The 17,647-nt window shown below is 49.3% G+C and overlaps 1 protein-coding gene across 2 annotated transcripts in view; it reads right to left on the bottom strand.

Annotated features, from left to right (window-relative positions):
* The window catches only part of CFAP77 (cilia and flagella associated protein 77), a 163,109-nt gene that overhangs the window by 1,145 nt on the left and 144,317 nt on the right, over positions 1–17,647 (bottom strand). The gene's annotated exons all lie outside the window — the stretch shown is intronic.

Below are 17,647 nucleotides of genomic sequence, written 5' to 3'. Positions count from 1 at the left end.
CAGCTCCTTGCTGGGGAAGATACAGGCAGAACAAAAATCACCAGGCCATGACCAGACGACCACGCAATGGGACCTAGTAGCCAGTGTCCTTCATGCACTACTTTTCCACCATTAAAAACCCCAAACAAGCCACCCTCTCCAAGGGGGACCTCCTGACCCTGTCTGCACTCCCTTGCTGGGAATTAGATCACTTCCCTCCTCTCTGGTGGCAGCCACCACAGGAGTCAAGAGCTGAACTTCAATATCACCAGAACCAGAGCTCAAGAATAAATCAGAAAAAAAAAAAAAAAATGCAAGGGAGACAGATTCAAAGAGTGGGAGCCTCTTCAGTTAAGATTTTGTGCAATCGGTATCTCAGCCTGCCCTTTCTTCTCAAGAAATGGTGGTGGGTGAAGACCCCGCCTCGCCTCCTGGTGTCCACTGTGTCTGTTACATCACCTCCAAGTGCTACAAAATCCATCCCATTAACAGCACAACATCCTCCTGCCTCAGCATTTCTCCTTTGGGATAACCTAAGGGCGGCACAGGGTGGAAAGGGTTTGGGCTCACGTGCTCATTCCTGCATCTGGGCTTCTATCCATCTGTTAATTCGTGAAATGCATGTTTATTGAACACAACTCTGTGTCAGATGTGGGGGATATGGCAGTAAACCAGAGAGACTCGGCTCTACCCTCGTGGAGCTTTTATTCTAGAGGGAGAGCAGACATCCAGCAGTAACTACACAGCTATTTCATTACAATGGACAGAAGGCTGGGGAGTGCGCAGTGAGAACAAATTGGGTGGGTCCTGGGGAAGAGATGCATACAGGGGGTCTCGAAGGATGGGTTGGGATTCCAGGGCAAAGGGGGGTAGCGTGGCTGCTGGCCCTGGGGTCCAAGAGAGCTCAACTTTGTGAGGGGATGCGGCGGCCAGGTAGAGGGTGGGCAGGGCAGGTCCTGTTTGGATTTGCAGGAGCAGCCAAAGGCTCTGCAGTGGGTTCAGGATAAAGCAGGACCCATGCCTAGGACAGCCACAGGGTGCTTGTCGAGAATCCAGGCCAGGGTTGACCACCCCGGAGTGGTTAGCTAAGCCCACGGCGCTGCAGGTTAGGGTGAAGAAAGGTGACAGAAGAAGAAAAATGTGGGGAGAGAGGATGAAATATTAAAAGGGGGTAGAGGGAAGATAAGGAGGGGCTTGTAGGGAAAGTCTCTGTGCTCGGGGCCACGTGGAATCCCCCTCGGACTGTGTTTATCATTTCACAGACGAGGGAACAGAGGCCTAGGGCAGAGTGTGGTTCAGGGCTGCCCCCATAGGGAATTGGTGACCCCCAACCTCTGGACTCTTAAGTTCTGGATTCTTTCTAGAATATTGTGTCACAGCTGCCACTCATGCTGTGTCTAGGGTGCTGCCTACACCTCACTTGCTGAGGTGAAAGAAGGCAGGGGGCTGTGGAGCGTTGTTAGAAACCCATAAAAATCAAATGGTGACCAGAGACTCCGTTCTTCCAGGAATAACCATGTTCTTCACCTTCTAGCGGATGTGGACCCCTTGGGGATGCTCTTTGGAAAGCCATGGGCCCTTTTCCTCTGGGAAAAAAAAATGCCCACAAGTGCTTACATAAAAAACAGTGCAGGTGATTTAGGAGGTTTCAGGGCCCTTTGCAAGTCCCTCTAGGGACCCTCCATGGCAGCATTTCTCAGAGCTGTCCAGCCTCAGCCCAGCCGCAGCACCAGTCGTAGTCCCAGCCCCAGCCTCGGGTTTCAGATTTTTTGGTTTTGCCTCAGAATCGCATTGGGGCTCTTGCAACCAAGGGAGAGGCCTGAGCCCAGCCCAAAAGCTACTGAGCCCCTCAGGTCAGAGCGCGTAGCATAGTTACCCAGTGCCCACCTGGACCCAGGGCTGCATGTCTGCTGTGCAACTGATCTCCATCAATCAAACCATGATTGTGCCCTCAGCTCAATCTCAATGTTTCGGAAAAATGTCCAAGTAGCCTCACAAGACACACTGAGAAGAGAGAAGGCCTTGCACAGTGTGCAGGAGGAAAATAGTCTGTGGACAAAGGGCTTCTAGTGACACCTTTGTGACCTTCTGGCAAGTGGTGGCCTGATGTTTACACTGTGACACGATCTTCCTGAGGCCCATGGCTCCTAAAAGGCAGCTAGAGGCTGGGAGCAGTGGCTCACACTTGTAATCCCAGTGCTTTGGGAGGCCAAGGTGGGCGGATCACTTGTCAGGAGTTTGAGACCAGCCTGGCCAACATGGCGAGACCCCATCCCTACTAAAAATACAAAAATTAGCTGGGTGTGGTGGTGGGTGCCTGTAGTCCCAGCTACAGGGAGGGCTAAGGCAGGAGAATCGCCTGAACCCAGGAGGCGGAGGTTGCAGTGAGCCGAGATTGTGCCACTGCACTCCAGCCTGGACAACAGAGCGAGATTCCGTCTCAAAAAAAAAAAAAAAAAAAAAAAAAGGGCAGCTAGAGACACTTAGGAAGACAGGTGCATCAGACCTTGGGGTCTCGGGGGCATGCAGCCACCCTGGTGTCCAGCCGGCTTGGACCTGAGGCACCCCTGGCCTTCAGTGGCATCCAGATTGGCAATTGTGCTGTCTCTGGTGGCCAGTCACCAATGGTGTCTTTTCATTTGTTTTTTAGAACACAGGCATATTTTTCAAATAGTAATAATAACTATTTATATTCAGCTTTGCAAAATGTTTAGTATGTGAAAACAACTATCCATGTTGTTACAATGTCACTATAAGAATTTTCCTTTTCCCCCCTACCACCCTCCGCCCCCATCAGGTTCTCACTCTGTCACCCAGGCTGGAGTGCAGTGGCACAACCATGGCTCACTGCAGCCTCAAACTCTCGGGCTCAAGGGATCCTCCTGCCTTGCCTCCAGGTAGCTAGGACTACAGCTGTGCGCCACCATGCCCAGCTAATTTCTGTAATTTTTTGTAGAGATGGGGGGAGGGTCTCAATATGTTGAGGGTGGTCTGGAACCCCTAGCCTCAAGTGATCCTCCTCCCTTGGCCTCCCAAAATTAATTTTACTTTTCTGAAAGATATTTGTAACAGCCTTGTTGAGGTATGATTGATCTACCTAACCTGCAAAACCTGTATTTAATGTGTAAAATTTGATGAGTTTGGGCATATGCAAATAGCCCTGAAACCATCACTACAATCAAAAATAGCCATCAACGGCCAGACAAGGTGACTCACACCTGTAATCCAAGCACTTTCGGAGGCCAAGGTAGGTGGATTGCTTGAGCCCAGGAGTTAGAGACCAGCCTAGGCAGCATGGTGAAACCCTGTCTCTACAAATAATACAAAAATTAGCCAGGCATGGTGGCACATGCCTATAGTCCCAGCTACTTGGGAGGCTGAGATGGGAGGATTGATTGAGCCTGGGAGGTTGAGGCTGCAATGAGCCATTGTCATGCCACTGCACTCCAGACTATGGGACAGAGACTCTGTCTCCAAAAAAAAATCTATTCCAAAGCTTCCTCATGCCCAGTTGGTTTTTTGCTGTTTTGTTTATTGGAGATTTTTTTGGTGGGAACCCTTAACATGAGATCTGATCTCTTAGCAGCATTTTCAAGTGCACAGTATAGTATACGCACTATTTTTTTTTTTTTTTTTTTTGAGGCGGAGTTTCACTCTTGTTGCCCAGGCTGGAGTGCAATGGTGTGATCTCGGCTCACTGCAACCTCCACCTCCCGGGTTCAAGCAATTCTCCTGCCTCAGCCTCCCGAGTAGCTGGAATTACAGGCGCCTGCCACCATGCCTGGCTAATTTTTTGTATTTTTAGTAGAAACGGGGTTTCTCCTTGTTGGCCAGGCTGGTCTGGAACTCTTGACCTCAGGTGATCCACCCGCCTCGGCCTCCCAAAGTGTTGGGATTACAGGCGTTAGCCACAGCGCCCAGCTGTATATGCACTATTATTAACTCTAGGCACAGCGTTGTACAGCAGGTCTCTAGAGAGTATTCATTTTGCGTAAATGAAACTATACCCCTTGAATAGCAGCTCCCATTTCCAAGTCCCTGGCAGCCACCTTGCTTCTCTCTGCTTCTCTGGGTGCCCATGGCTCTTCATAGGGGAGTATAGCTCTGCAGACCACCTCTCAGCCCTGTCCATTCCTTCCTCCTCGGCCCTTGTAGTGAGCTGAACCATGACTCCCAGAAAGATAGGTCCATGTACTAACCCCCAGAACTTGAGAATGTGGCCTTATTTGGAAACAGGGTCTTTGCAGATATAATTAAAGATCTCGAGATGAAATCATCCTAGATTATTCAGATGGGCCCTAAATCCAATCACAAGCATCTTTAGTAGCAACAGAAGACACAGAGGAGACAGCCATGTGAAGACAGAGGCAGAGATGAGAGCGATGTGGCCACAACCAAGGAGCATCGGGAGCCCACAGGAGCTGGAGGAGGCAGGGAGGATTGTCCCTAGAGCCTTCCAGGGAATGTGGCCCTGACGACACTTTGATTTTGTTGGTCTGGCCTCCAGAACTGTGAAAACAAACATTTCTATGGTTTTAAGCCACCAAGGTTTGTGACAATTTGTTATAGCAGCCTCTAGAAGCTAATACAGCCCTCAAGCCATTCCCTGGGCAAATCAGCATGCAGCGATGGTGGGTGGGGCTGTGGCTGGCCCTGCTGGTGGCAGGAGGCTCACCAGCACCCACTCATCCCATACCCCAAGAAGGTGGCTGGAGGATTGAAGCCCTAAGGAGCTGCTCAGTCTAACCACACAAGGACAAAAGGAGAACCATGGTGAGAAATTTTCTTTTTCGCAGTCGCCGTTTACTTAGAAACTTCGCTGAAGCAGAAGCATTCATCCATCCATCCATCTAAAAAATATTTATTAAGTACCTACTGTGTGCCAGCAGCTGCTAAGCACACACCCCTTGCACTTCAGAGTTCCAAGTTCCATATTCCCCTTGGTTTTCTAAAGGGGTGTTTTGGGCACAAGAGGCTCCTCCCAATGACTAACCACACACATTTTGGCACCTGCTGTGTGCCGACACTGGGAGAGGCAGAGCGCATGTCACCTGTGGTGTCTGATGTGGATGACATCCCATTCCAACTGGAATCTCACGGAGTGAATTCATCCCAGAAGGGAGCTCAAGGAAGGGCTCCTCCTCTATGAAGCAGGGTCTGCTCGTGGCCTGTTCCCTGAAGGACTCCCAGTGCCTGGCACAGAACCTGGCATTTGAGAAGTGTTTAAAGAAGGTCGGGTGGGCCCCCAAATGTATGAATGAATGATGAGTGAAGGAAATCGAGACAATCTGTCTGGCCTCCAGCGGCCAGCAAGGACTTCTCATGCCAGGAGGGACTTGAATGTGCCCTGGAAGGACTGTGATGAGGGAGGTGGGAAGGGAGAGAACAGGAGGGAAACAGATCCGCAGAGGCCAGAGGGGCCCCAGCGAGGCGGAGTCTGGAGGCGAAAACCAAAGGAGATGCTTAGTGCCTGGGCCTGGCAGACTCTACTGAAAGCGAACTCGAGCAAAAGTGTCCACCTCAGGTGGGATGGGCCCTTTAGAAAGAGAAGGGAGATGGGGCCTATTCTGTACCCACAAAGTCTCCAAATCCCTAACCAAAAAAACAGTTGTCTGTGGAGAGGGGAGTTCCAGTCCTCAACGGGCCTCGTAGCTGGGTGCCTCTCTGCAAAATTTGTCCTGGAGGCCAGAACTGGCATGTTGAGCCCCTTGTCAACAGCAATGCTAGGACAAGAACAGACCTGCTTATTTGCTGGGCGCTGTGCATTTATTTCACACAAGCCTTGGAACGCCCGGAGGAGGCCGGCACCATCGTTGTCTCCATTTTACAGATGGGAAAGTGGAGGTCCCAGAAGGTTAAGTCATTTGCTTCATTTCAGCGATTGAACCCAGGGCTGCAAGACTCAAGGCCCCAAGCCCTTCGTCACGAGCTCCATTGCCTCTTATTAAATGCTCATGGAGTCCATGAAGCAAAAGTCGCTGGCTGCAAGGTCATGGCTCCGCCGCACATGCACGCTCCCCCCTCTCCAAGCAGCCCAGCCACACATGAGGAGCCTGACTACAAGTCAGGCCTCAAGCCCTTCTGTGGTCACGACCCTGTGGACCCCTGGAGTCAAAGGATGAAGAGCTGTGGAGCAAGGAATTCCTTCTGAGATGCTTCTAAATTAAGCCATCTGCGGTCTGTCTCTGCCTGGAGCTAAGAAATTGTAATGGCTTTGGCAGGAGACAGCTTTGCTGAATGGAGCTCTGAGCTGCTCTAAGGTCAATGCAGGTAAATAAGAGGCAAGTGCCACAGCCGCCAGCAGCCCTGGGAGCCGGGCGAGCGGGAGGCTTTATCCCGGTTGGCGAAGGAGCTGGTCCTGTTAGAATGGGGAGCATTGCACAAATCTAAATGGCATCGCAGAAATAAGGACAGAGCGCTGCCATGCAGTGCCCTGGAAACACACCTGCCAGGAAGGCAGAGCCCACATGGACCCAGGGAGACATCTTGGGAAGCGGTCACTAAACACACTGTACATGTGATTGTTTGTGACATTTAGACAAGAGCTATCTTCTTTTTTTTTTTAAGAAGGGGTTTCATTCTCGTTGCCCAGGCTGGAGTGCAGTGGTGTGATCTCAGCTCACTGCAAACTCTGCCTCCCGGGTTCAAGCGATCCTCCTTCCTCAGCCTCCCGAGTAGCTGGGATTACAGGTGTCTGCCATCACGCCCAGCTAATTTTTTATATTTTTAGTAGAGACGGGGTTTTACCATGTTAGCCAGGCTGCTCTGGAACTCCTGACCTCAGGTGATCCACTCACCTCGGCCTCCCAAAGTGCTGGGATTACAGGCGTGAGCCACGGCACCAGGCCGACAAGAGCTATTTAATAAGATTGTGGACTGGGGAAATCTACCTCCATCTGGGGCTCAGGAAGGGCTCTCTGGGGAGGATGAAGGAGCAAGCCAGGGGCAAAGGAAGGGGCAAAGGAGGAATGGGGGTGAATTCCAGGAAATGAAAGCGAGCCATTGCTGTTATGGGCAGCAGGATGTGGCAGGGGAGATGAGCAGCTACTAGATCCTAGAAGAGATTTCTACTCCATCTGCCTAGGAATCATAGTTCCCTCCTGGGATAACATCCTTTTCCTCCCTGCTACTGGATCAGAATAAAATATTCCCAGAGAGTTAGGTTTGGAAGAGACCTTAGTGATATCGAATCTAACTCTCCCATACTACAGATGGAAAACCCAAGGCCCGAAGGTGAGAAGTGACCCTCCCAGGTCTCCCGTGAGTCCTGGGCAGAGCTGAGACCAGCCGCCAGACAGCAGGCCCCTTCCTCAGCACCGCAGTCCCTGAACGGAGGTCTCACTTTGCTTCCCGCATCTAGAGCGGTGGGCCCCATTTTCTAACTCATTTGAAAGCATCTGTGCTTTTCCAATCCACTTGCAATGAACCAACTTTTCATTTGATTGATATCCTTAATTGTACCTTTGACATTTCACTAATGTTTACTCTGTTGTTCTTTTTCTAGCATCTAGAGTCGTTGGCTTAGCTAATTACCTTTCATCTTTCTTTTTTTCTCCAATATTAGCATTTATATAACACAGCATTAGCAACTGTGTTCCCTCTAAATTCTCTTTTAGCTCATCTCACAAGTTTTGAGTATATTTGTTTTTGCTCAGTTCTCTTTTAATCTAATTTCTATCTAATTTCTGTTTGGATTTCTCCTTTGATCGCTAAGTTATTTATAAGCGTGATTTTACATTTCCAGGCAATTTTATCAGTTAGGTTTGTTACTGATTTCTAATTCAATTTCTTTGGTGCTGAAGTAATCCTCACAAGTCAGACCTTTTGGTATTTATTGAGGTTTTGCTTTGTATTCTTGCTTGAAAAATCTGTTCTACTTTCAATGAAAAAATCCTCATGTGGAATGAACTGGTGCTATCCTAGAGAAGATGTCCATGGGACCTGGGTTGAGGCTAAGATGTGGCCCTTGTCCTTGTATTTATGTATTCATGATTTTATTCAATGCTTATTTATTGACCATCCATTGTGTATCAGAGATGGGGCTAGTCCCTGAGATAGAGTGAGAAACTACTAATAAAAATAAAATCACACAACGAATTCTTCAATTAGAATTGTGTATTAAAAGAAGTACAAGGTTCTGTAAGAGCTTATGATACAGAGACTCCAACTCTGATTGAGGCCAGAGAAGGCTTCCCTGAGGAAATAGCACACAAGCAGATACTCAAAGAGAAAGAGTAGCTGGTGCTGGGGTCCCACAGCTGAAGAAAGGGCAGAAGAAAGGAACAGGTGGTTTCCAGAGGGGAAATCTGAGTGGCCAAAAAACAGGACAGTATGCTCAACCCAGCGCATCATCAGGGAATAGCACATTAAGCAAGAGAATAAGCATTACACACACATCGGATTGGTAATAACGGGAAGGAGTCTGACATGAGAAACGGGAACTTCCATGCACTACCAGCGAGTGTGTTCATTCGTACAACCTCTTTAGAGAGACTTGGCATAGCCAGAAAGGCTGGCCACATGTACACCCTACGAACCAACGAGTCCACGTTTACATACATGCCCTGCAGAAATTCTCAGAAATGTCCACTAAGAGATGTGCATGAGGAATCCTCACGGTAGTACCATGTCAATAAATGCCGGGAACAACTGCATGTCCATCAGTGGGGCCTGCTCGGATGAAGGGTGGTGAATTCAGAGGGTGGAACACCTTGCATCCACTACAGTGGACACTCCAGAGAGGCCCCACCCAACATGGCAGGCCCCACCCAACATGGCAGCCCCCAGCCACATGCAGCTCTTTCAATGTCAGTGGACTAAAATTAAATAAAATCTGAAACTTCGTTCCTCAGTTGCACCAACCACATACCAAGTGCTCAATAGGCCGGGTGCAGTGGCTCACACTTGTAACTGCAGCTTTTTGGGAGGCTGAGGCAGGAGAATCGCTTAAACTCGAAGTTCGAGAGCAGCCTGGACAACATAGCAAGACCCCATCTCTACAGAAAAAATTTTAGCAGGGCATGGTTGCATCCACCTGTGGTCCCAGGTACTCAGGAGATTGAGGGGGAGGATTGCTTGAGCCCAGGAGGTGGAGGCCGCAGTGAGCCATGATCTTACCCCTGCACTCCAGCCTAGGTGACAGAGTGAGGTGCTGTCTCTAAAAACAAAACCAAAAAAAGCCAAAAAAACCCCAATTGCGGCCAGGTGGGGTGGCTCACACCTGTAATCCCAGCACTTTGGGAGGCTGAGGCAGGCAGATCACGAGGTCAGGAGTTTGAGACCATCCTGACCAACATGATGAAACCCTGTCTCTACTAAAAATACAAAAATTAGCTGGGTGTGGTGGTGCGTGTCTGCAATCCCAGCTACTCAGGAGGCTGAGGCAGGAGAATCGCTTGAACCTGGGAGGCGGAGGTTGCAGTGAGCTGAGATTGTGCCACTGCACTCCAGCCTGGGAGACTGAGCGAGACTCTGTCTCAAAAAAAAAAAATAAAATAAAACAAAAACAACAACAACAAAAACAAGTGCTCAATGGCCCTGAGTGGCCAGTGGCTACTGCAGTGGACAGGTGGATGTAGAACATTTTTATCAGAAAGTTATATTAGACAGTGTTGTTCCAGGTCTATCAGAACCAATGTGCATGAATCTCAAAAACCCAACGTTGCATGAAAAAAAATTTACAGAATGGAACCTAAGCATGATTTCCTTGATATGAAAAAAATAAAAAACATACAAAACGCTTCCCTGTTTAGCTCCAGCATATGTGTGAATCTGCTTAGACAGAAAGGGGCGGAAGGAAAAGAATGTTCTCAGAGGTCACGCCAGGCTCTGCCTCTGGGAGGGAGGAGAGTGAGCCCAGGGAGGGAAGCAGAGAGGATTTCAGTTTTATTTCTATGGGACTATTGCCTTTTCCTCTTTTTCATATGAGAACACAAATGTGGGTTCAAACTGCATTTGTGGGAGGTGACCTGGGGTGAGGGAGGGCCTCCTCGTGCCACACACAGTTTAGAAAGGATAACTGTTTTATGAGTTTCCCTTATTGGAGATGTGGGCAGGATTCCAAATTTGATTACAAAGTTTTGCCACAGGAACCGTAGCCGCCAGTGGTGGGTGACGTTGGCTTACGTATGTGACTTCCCGATGGCCCCTCCAGTTGGGCTTATCCAGCTTCATGGGGGCGTAAATTCACCTCCATGCCTGAGAAAATATCCAAGACGCAGAGGCTCTACCTGGAGATGAGGCATTGGCCGTTCCTCCTTGCGAGGCGGCACCAGCCTTCTGCTGGGTTGAATGGCTCTGGTCCACAAGCTGAAAAGCGGGCTGCCTTTGCCTTCTTCCCCTTCCCTCTTTCCTTGCCTTCTTACTGCCTCCACCCGACGCCTCTGCCACAGGTGGGGGGTTCAGGCAGCCACAGCCCTGGGGCTCTTCTTGTTGGGAGGGCAGGGCAGGAGCCGTGTGTTTTGTCTTGAGCCTTTTGTCCACTGTTATGCCTTGCTGTTGCTTGCGAACCCATCCCAGAGACACATGGAGGGGGTGTGTGTGTGTGTGTGTGTGTGTGTGTGTGTGTGTGTGTGTGTGTGTGTGTGTGTGTACATGCACCTCAATGGCCAGAAGAAACCAAATCTGGCGCTGTACAAATTCACAGGTCAATCAGCTTTTCCACAGCACTTTCTGAGTCCAGGTCCCTGACCCAGTCCCACTGCCAGGGCAGCTGAGCCAGCAGACGCCCCCTCCCCACGCACTGGCCACACGAAGGTCCCCTAACTAAACACCAAGCTTCCAGTGCCAGGTCTGGAGACTAACAAGGCAAAAGGGAGGATTTGGGGGGGGAAAACAGATTTAAAAAAATAAAATCTGCCAAAGAGCTAAAAAAAAAAAATAATGACAGGCATAGAGATTTTAGATTAGTTTTTAAGTGACAACTGCTCAGGTGACTGGGAGAGAGATTTTGCTTTAAAAGATTGAGAGGCTGTCTCCTCTAATGAGAGGCACTTGAAAATTATGGATCAGTCCCAGGTCAGTAATTCCTGTCAAGTTCGGGGCAGCTGGAGGTCAGAGGCTCCGGTAGAACACAGATTCATGTAGGACATCGTGGGAGAGCAGGCTGGGTCCTCAGCTCTGATGTAGCAGGTTGTCGTTTAAGTAATTAACAAGGGTAACAGTCTCTCCTGAGACATCTGGTCCCCTAGATTGTTATTCTGCCACTGGCTCTCATTTCTCTGTGGTCCAAAAATAGATGAGCAAGGACACAGGACCCGACCCTCCCTGCTGACACATGCTGCGATTTCAAAGAACAGCCAAGCTCTGCTTGGAAAACAAACTTCCTGCCTTCCTGCAAGGTCTAATGTAGGTTCTCAAATGGCACCGGCACCACTCTCAGTGAACCGTGCCCAGGGAATGGGGAGGAGCAGCGACCTTGAGGGGATGGGGCGGGGGACCATTGGTTTGACAAAGGAGGAGACTGAAGCTCAGGAAGGATACGACACCGGCCCAAGGACACCCAGCTACTAAGTGACAGAGCCCCAACTGGAATGCAGAGCTGTGCTCCATGGACTGACTGCAGGGCTGCGGGACTTACCGGAGCAGAAGGAAAGCTAGGCATTTGTGCCTTTGAAAATGAGAATCGATTTGCTCCTTCGAGAAGCCATACCAATGGCTCCAGGTCATTCGCAAGGATTAGCGAAGGCCAGTCAGCAGCAGTTGAAATCAAAATTGAACAATGAAGCTGTTTGCTAGACGCTAGGAGCAAAATAATTGGGTAACACCAGTCCCAAGGTGGGGTGTGTGTGTGAACTTTCCATAAACCTCAGGTCAGCTCCTAAGCTTCTTCAGCTTGTAAGCTCAATAGGCTGCAGGTGAATGAGAGTTGTAGTGGAGGACACAGCAGACTCCCCTCGTCTGAGGCCAGACCTTGGTGGCCAATTATCACCCTGTTCTGGCCCCTAAAGTCAGAATCTAGGCGATGATCACTCATCTCATCCAACTGGGCTATTTTTTAAAGTGACTCTTTTTAAAAACAGCTTTATTGAGATATAATTCACATACCATAAACCTCACCAATTTTAGCCTGTTCTTAGGATTGTACAACCCACCTCCACACCCTAAGTTTAGAACATTTCATCACCCCCAAAAGAAACTTTATAGCCATTAGCAGTCACTCCTATTCCTCTTCCCTAGCCTCTGGCAACCACTAATCTATTTCCTGTTGGTGTGGCTTTCCCTATTTTGGACTCTTCATATAAATGGAATTATACAATGTGAGGTCTTTTGTGACTGGCTGCTTTCATTCCCTTAGCATCATGTTTTCAAGGTTCATCCACGTTATAGCACAGAGGACCGCTTCATTCCTTTCCAGGGAATAGTATTCCTTTGTATGGATGGACCACATTTTTGTTACCCATTCATCAGTTGATGGACCTTGGGTTGTTTCCACTTTTGACTATTATGAGTAATGCTTCTAGAACATTCATGTACAGTTTTTGTGTGGATGTATGTTTTCATTTCTCTTGGGTGTATACCTAAGAGTAGAATTTCTGGGTGATACGGGAGCTCTATGTTTAGCCTTTTGGAGAACTGCCAAAGTGTTTCCAACTTGGCTGTACCATTTTTGATTCCCACCAGCACGTATGGGTGTTCCAATTTCTCCATATCCTCACCAACACTTGTTGTTGTCTGTCATTTTTATTCTAGCCGTTGTAGGGGGAGTGAAGTCCCATCTCATTGTGATTTTGATTTGTGTTTCCGTGATGGCTCATGATGTTGTTGAGCATCTTTTCATGTGTTTATTTGTTTATCTCCTTTGGAGAAATGTCTGTTCCTATCTTTTGCCTTTTTTTTTTTTTTTTTTTTGCAAGACAGAGTCTCACTCTGACGCGCAGGCTGGAGTGCAGTGGCGCGATCTCGGCTCACTGCAACCTCCGCCTCCCGGGTTCATGCCATTCTTCTGCCTCGGCCTCCCGAGTAGCTGGGACTACAGATGCCCGCCACCACACCCAGCTAATTTTTTTGTATTTTTAGTAGAGATCGGGTTTCACCGTGTTAGCCAGGATGGTCTCGATCACCTGACCTCATGATCCACCCACCTCAGCCTCCCAAAGTGCTGATTACAGGCGTGAGCCACTGTGCCCGGCCACCCATTTTTAAATTGAGTTATTTATCTTTTTATTACTGATTTTTTTTTTTGAGACAGAGTCTTGCTCTGTCACCTAGGCTGGAGTGCAATGGCACAATCTCAGCTCACTGCAACCTCTGCCTCCTCAGTTCAAGTGATTCTCCTGCCTCAGCCTCCTGAGCAACTGGGATTACAGGTGCGTGCCATCACGTCTGGCTAATTTTTATATTTTTAGTAGAGACGGGGTTTCAACCACGTTGGTCAGGCTGGTCTCGAACTCCCGACCTCAGGTGATCTGCCCATCTTAGCCTCCCAAAGTGCTGGGATTACAGACGTGAGCCACCGCACCCGTCCTTATTTTTATTTATTTATTTATTTTGAGACAGAGTTTCACTCTTGTCACCCAGGCTGGAATGCAATGGTGCAATCTCGGCTCACTGCAACCTCTGCCTCCTGGATTCAAGTGATTCTCCTGCCTCAGCCTCCTGAGTAGCTGGGATTACAGGCGCCTGCCACCACGCCTGGCTGATTTTTATATTTTTAGTAGAGATGGGGTTTCACCACGTTGGCCAGGCTAGTCTTGAACTCCTGACCTCAGGTGATCCTCCCGCCTCTGCCTCCCAAAGTGCTGGGATTACAGGCATGAGCCACCACACCTGGATTTTATTACTGGCTTATAAGAGTAATTTATATATTCATCAACACAAGTCTCTTGTCAGACATATGATTTACAAATATTTTCTCCCATTCTGCTGGTTGTCTTTTTATTTTCTTGATAGTATCGTTTGAAGCACAAAAGCTTTCAAAGTTTGGTGAAGTCTAATTTATTTATTTCTATGTAGTGGGCTATATATTTTATTTCCTTTTCTATAAATATCATCTTAATGTAGCATAAAAAGATAAGCAATTTTAGGAATACCTATAGCAATTTATTTTCATGACCTCTCTAAGGCAGGGATGGCAGTACTGTTTCATTTTACTTGGCTCTAATAGACTGGTGGTAGCTGATGGCCAACCTCTGTTACAAAATATTCTAAGGCTGAACCTAGGCAGGTGAAAAAAGTACACAACGATTGATTAGTAAGGTCTGCCGTGGGCACGGGAGGGAGGTGGAGTGCCAGGTTTTCACTCTAAAAGATCAACATGGAGTCTCCCATGGTATCAGTGATGCTTATAAACTCAGAACCGGGGGAGGAGACATCTACACGTTCCTCTGCCCTTGACTCTGTCACTCTTTATGCAACCTCAGGTCACCCGTTCCTGGGGTAGCCAGCAGGTAGGTTGGAGCAAGGGGAGGATGCAGAGATGGAAAGAAAAGAAATGAGGAGGCCGGTAGGGGCTGGGGAAGGTGCCGCATGGACTCCCGGCAGCCTTGTGAGTTACCAAGTGGCCTCGATTTGCATGGGGTGCCAGAACAAAGTAAGGACTGACAAAGTTCCCATAGTCAGCTTGGGGAGAATAATGCCAGCCACTTGGAAAAAATCGGTTCTCCAGGTGTAGAGCAAAAGGAGGAAGCTTTTGGGAAACTGCCTTAACCAGGGTTTTGAGGCAAGAGTGAGGTCCCTGATTAAATCTTGAGCTTGACCCTAAAACCGTCCTCAGCCTTGAGTCTGGCTGGGACTGTCCTGCTGCCCAGCGCTCATCCCTGGCTGTGCTGGGCCCAGCAGGCTCTGAGAGTCGACCGACTTCGGTGCGCACTGGGCTTCCTCCCGTGCCCCCACGGCGGTGGCTCTGGTTCCACCGGGAGGCCGGGAAGCCGTGGAAGCATCCATCACCTTGGACTTGCATCTTGCCTTCTCTTTGAAACACCTGGGCCCAGCAAGAACCTCACGCTGGCAGCTGCTGTGCAGGGGCCAGGGACAACTTGGGGAGAGGGAAAGACCCCTTCCCGTTTCCCGTCTGCACCTTGGAGCCCCTGTCCAACACACGCACCCAACACACACCCTGCACACACACACCCCAGGATGCAAATGATAACCGCCGCGCCATCGCTTGTGAAGCTTGACAGAAAATAATGAGAAACACTAAATCTTTTATAAGGTCAACACTTGCCTTAGCCGAGCAGCTGTCAAACAAGAAAAGAATTTAGCGCCGGAGCCACGAAACTTCCATCGGCTCATTAAACCCAACAGGGCCCGGGCCTGGCGTGGCGAAGGAGACGCGGGGCCTTCCGTTTTGTGTCAGTAATTTGCGGTGGAGGAGGCGGAAGAAACAGCCAGCGCCAAAGGGGCCTGGGGGCTGGCTGGGGAATCGTTAGCGCGCCAGGAGCGGCCTCGGCTCCTAATTGGAAGCATTGGGCATTATCAACGGAGGATTTGCCTCAGTTCCCTGACAGCTCGTGGGCCCAAAATGATCGCCCACTTGTCAGTGTAAAAGACCATTAAAAACAAACCATTTTGATTTAATTGGAGGCGGTGCACCGCGGGGCCAGGTGAGGGGCTCGTCAGCCCGGCTCCCCCAAGCTGCCACCCCCCTCTCCCTCTGTGTGATGGGGCTCGGGGGGTGGGGTGGGAGAGAGTGTGTGTGTGTTTTCCAGACTTTTCACCTTTCAAAAACTGCCTGAGAAAGGAGTGAATGGGAGATGGAGGAAACTTCACAAAGACAGTGAGGCCGCTTTCAATGGGGTTGTCAACAAAGGCCCTGACAAGCTGAGCCGCCGGGGAGGGGGTCCTCCCTTCTTTGCAGAACCCAGATGATGGGAGGCTGCTCAGCTCTTTCTTCTGGAGGGGTCCTGCCACAACCTGCCCACCCCCGCTTAGAAATATCAGGACAGGGGAGGTCACAGCAGAGCCTGATCTTCAGTGGGGAGGAGGACTTTTTCTTTTATCGTGAAGACTAAGAAGAAGTTAGTGAAGGGACTGTGTCGACGGAGGCCCTGCTGAGGTGTCTTTGTGAATGGGACGGCCCCTAGAGATCTGGGGTAGTGTCTCATCAGGGTTCCCCCAGTGGAGGCCAGGGTGCTGACGATGCCTGCTTGAGAATCCTACATTGTCTCAGTATGAAGAGGGCGCTTGTATCAATATTAACTTAAACTCCTGGTGGGTTCTCCCACCGGGGCAGGTGCCTCCAAGCACACGGATCATCTATCTGTGCGCGGAACCTGAGTGTGACTCGGAGTGGAGATTGCCTGATGCCAGGGACTGTATGTTTTGCATGTTGATTCTCGGTATCGTGTACGCCGTGGGTGCTTGATAAATATTAATTGGCACTTGCCAGATCTCAGGTCTATATGTTTGTATATTAATCTCACCCCCATCTCACAACGCGGAGATCTCATTTGCTGCTTTCTGCTTCTCTGACAAGACAACACATGCAGGACCACACAGGGCTGGGGGGTGTGTTAGGGAAAGGGCGGGAGGCACGTCAGCTGATCCCTTCCTAAGCCTCCACTCTTCATTCTGATGAAGGATTGGGCTGGGAGGAGACACCAGCTCCCTGGTGAGCATCAAATTCCAGAGCTCCAAATTTTACTGCTGAATTTAGACAATGGGGATTCCTTAATTACTTTCTCTGGAAATTTACCTGACAGTGCTTTCTCAGGTAGCACAAGGTGCTTATCCAGCCACATGGTTCCTCGGTTGACAGTCTTTGATTTTGTGCTCGGTTGCAAATTAAGTCCTTTGCTGAGCCGTCCATGCAGTGCCCGTCAGTACTTTATTGCTCATTAATATAGGCTGTTGAACAACTTCTGAGTTACTGCCAGGGAAGCTGGGGACACACTCAGATGTTTGGTGTCCTCGGCCCATCGGGGTGGAGTGTACTGCAACGAGGTTTGGTGTTGTTATTCCCCTTTTATCTTATTGGAATAATGACCAGGAAGGATTTTTTTCTGGTATCTTTTAAGAAGGAGCAGAACCTTTCTGTGGTTGACGAGGCTAAGCCTGACAAGTCACAAATAGGACTATTAGAGCTAAGTGTCCTCAGCTAGATAGCAAAGATGTTAATGCCATATTGTGGGCATGGTTCTAGGGAAATGTCCGCAGACAGGAGGCCTTCAAATGTCTTGGGGTAACTCTACTTTTAGAGGCACCCAGTAGACACCAAACAAATCTTGGCTGGATGGTTGGATGAACAAACAGATGGACAGATGGCTGAGGATGGATGGATGGATGGATGGATGGATGGATGGATGGATGGATGGATGGGTGGATGGATGGATGCATGCATGCATGCATAGATGGATGGATAGATAGATGGTTGGATAGATGAATGAATGGACAGATGGATGGACGGATGGACAGATGAGTGGGTCAGGAGTCTGGGGATGAGGCAACACAGCCCTTAGGAATGCATCCAAGATTCAGGCACCCTGAAGATCTCTGCTTTGCTCAGCTTAAACTCTAAGTGGAAGAAGTGTTTTACTTTCTTCAGTAGTTGTACCCTGTCTCCTTCCAAGTGATTTGAAGGTATCTGGCGGATTGCACGCAAGGTGAAACAAGGTATTTAAGGGCTGGGCATAGTGGCTCATGCCTGTGATCCTAACACTTTGGGAGGCCAAGGCGGGCAGATCTCTTGAGCCCAGGAGTTCAAGACCAGCCTAGGCAATATGGTAAAACC

This window comes from Homo sapiens, chromosome 9, assembly GCF_000001405.40.
Source record: "Homo sapiens chromosome 9, GRCh38.p14 Primary Assembly".
Lineage (NCBI taxonomy): Eukaryota > Metazoa > Chordata > Mammalia > Primates > Hominidae > Homo > Homo sapiens.
Note: the sequence above shows the minus strand (reverse complement) of the source record. Positions and strands in the feature narration are given on the sequence as shown.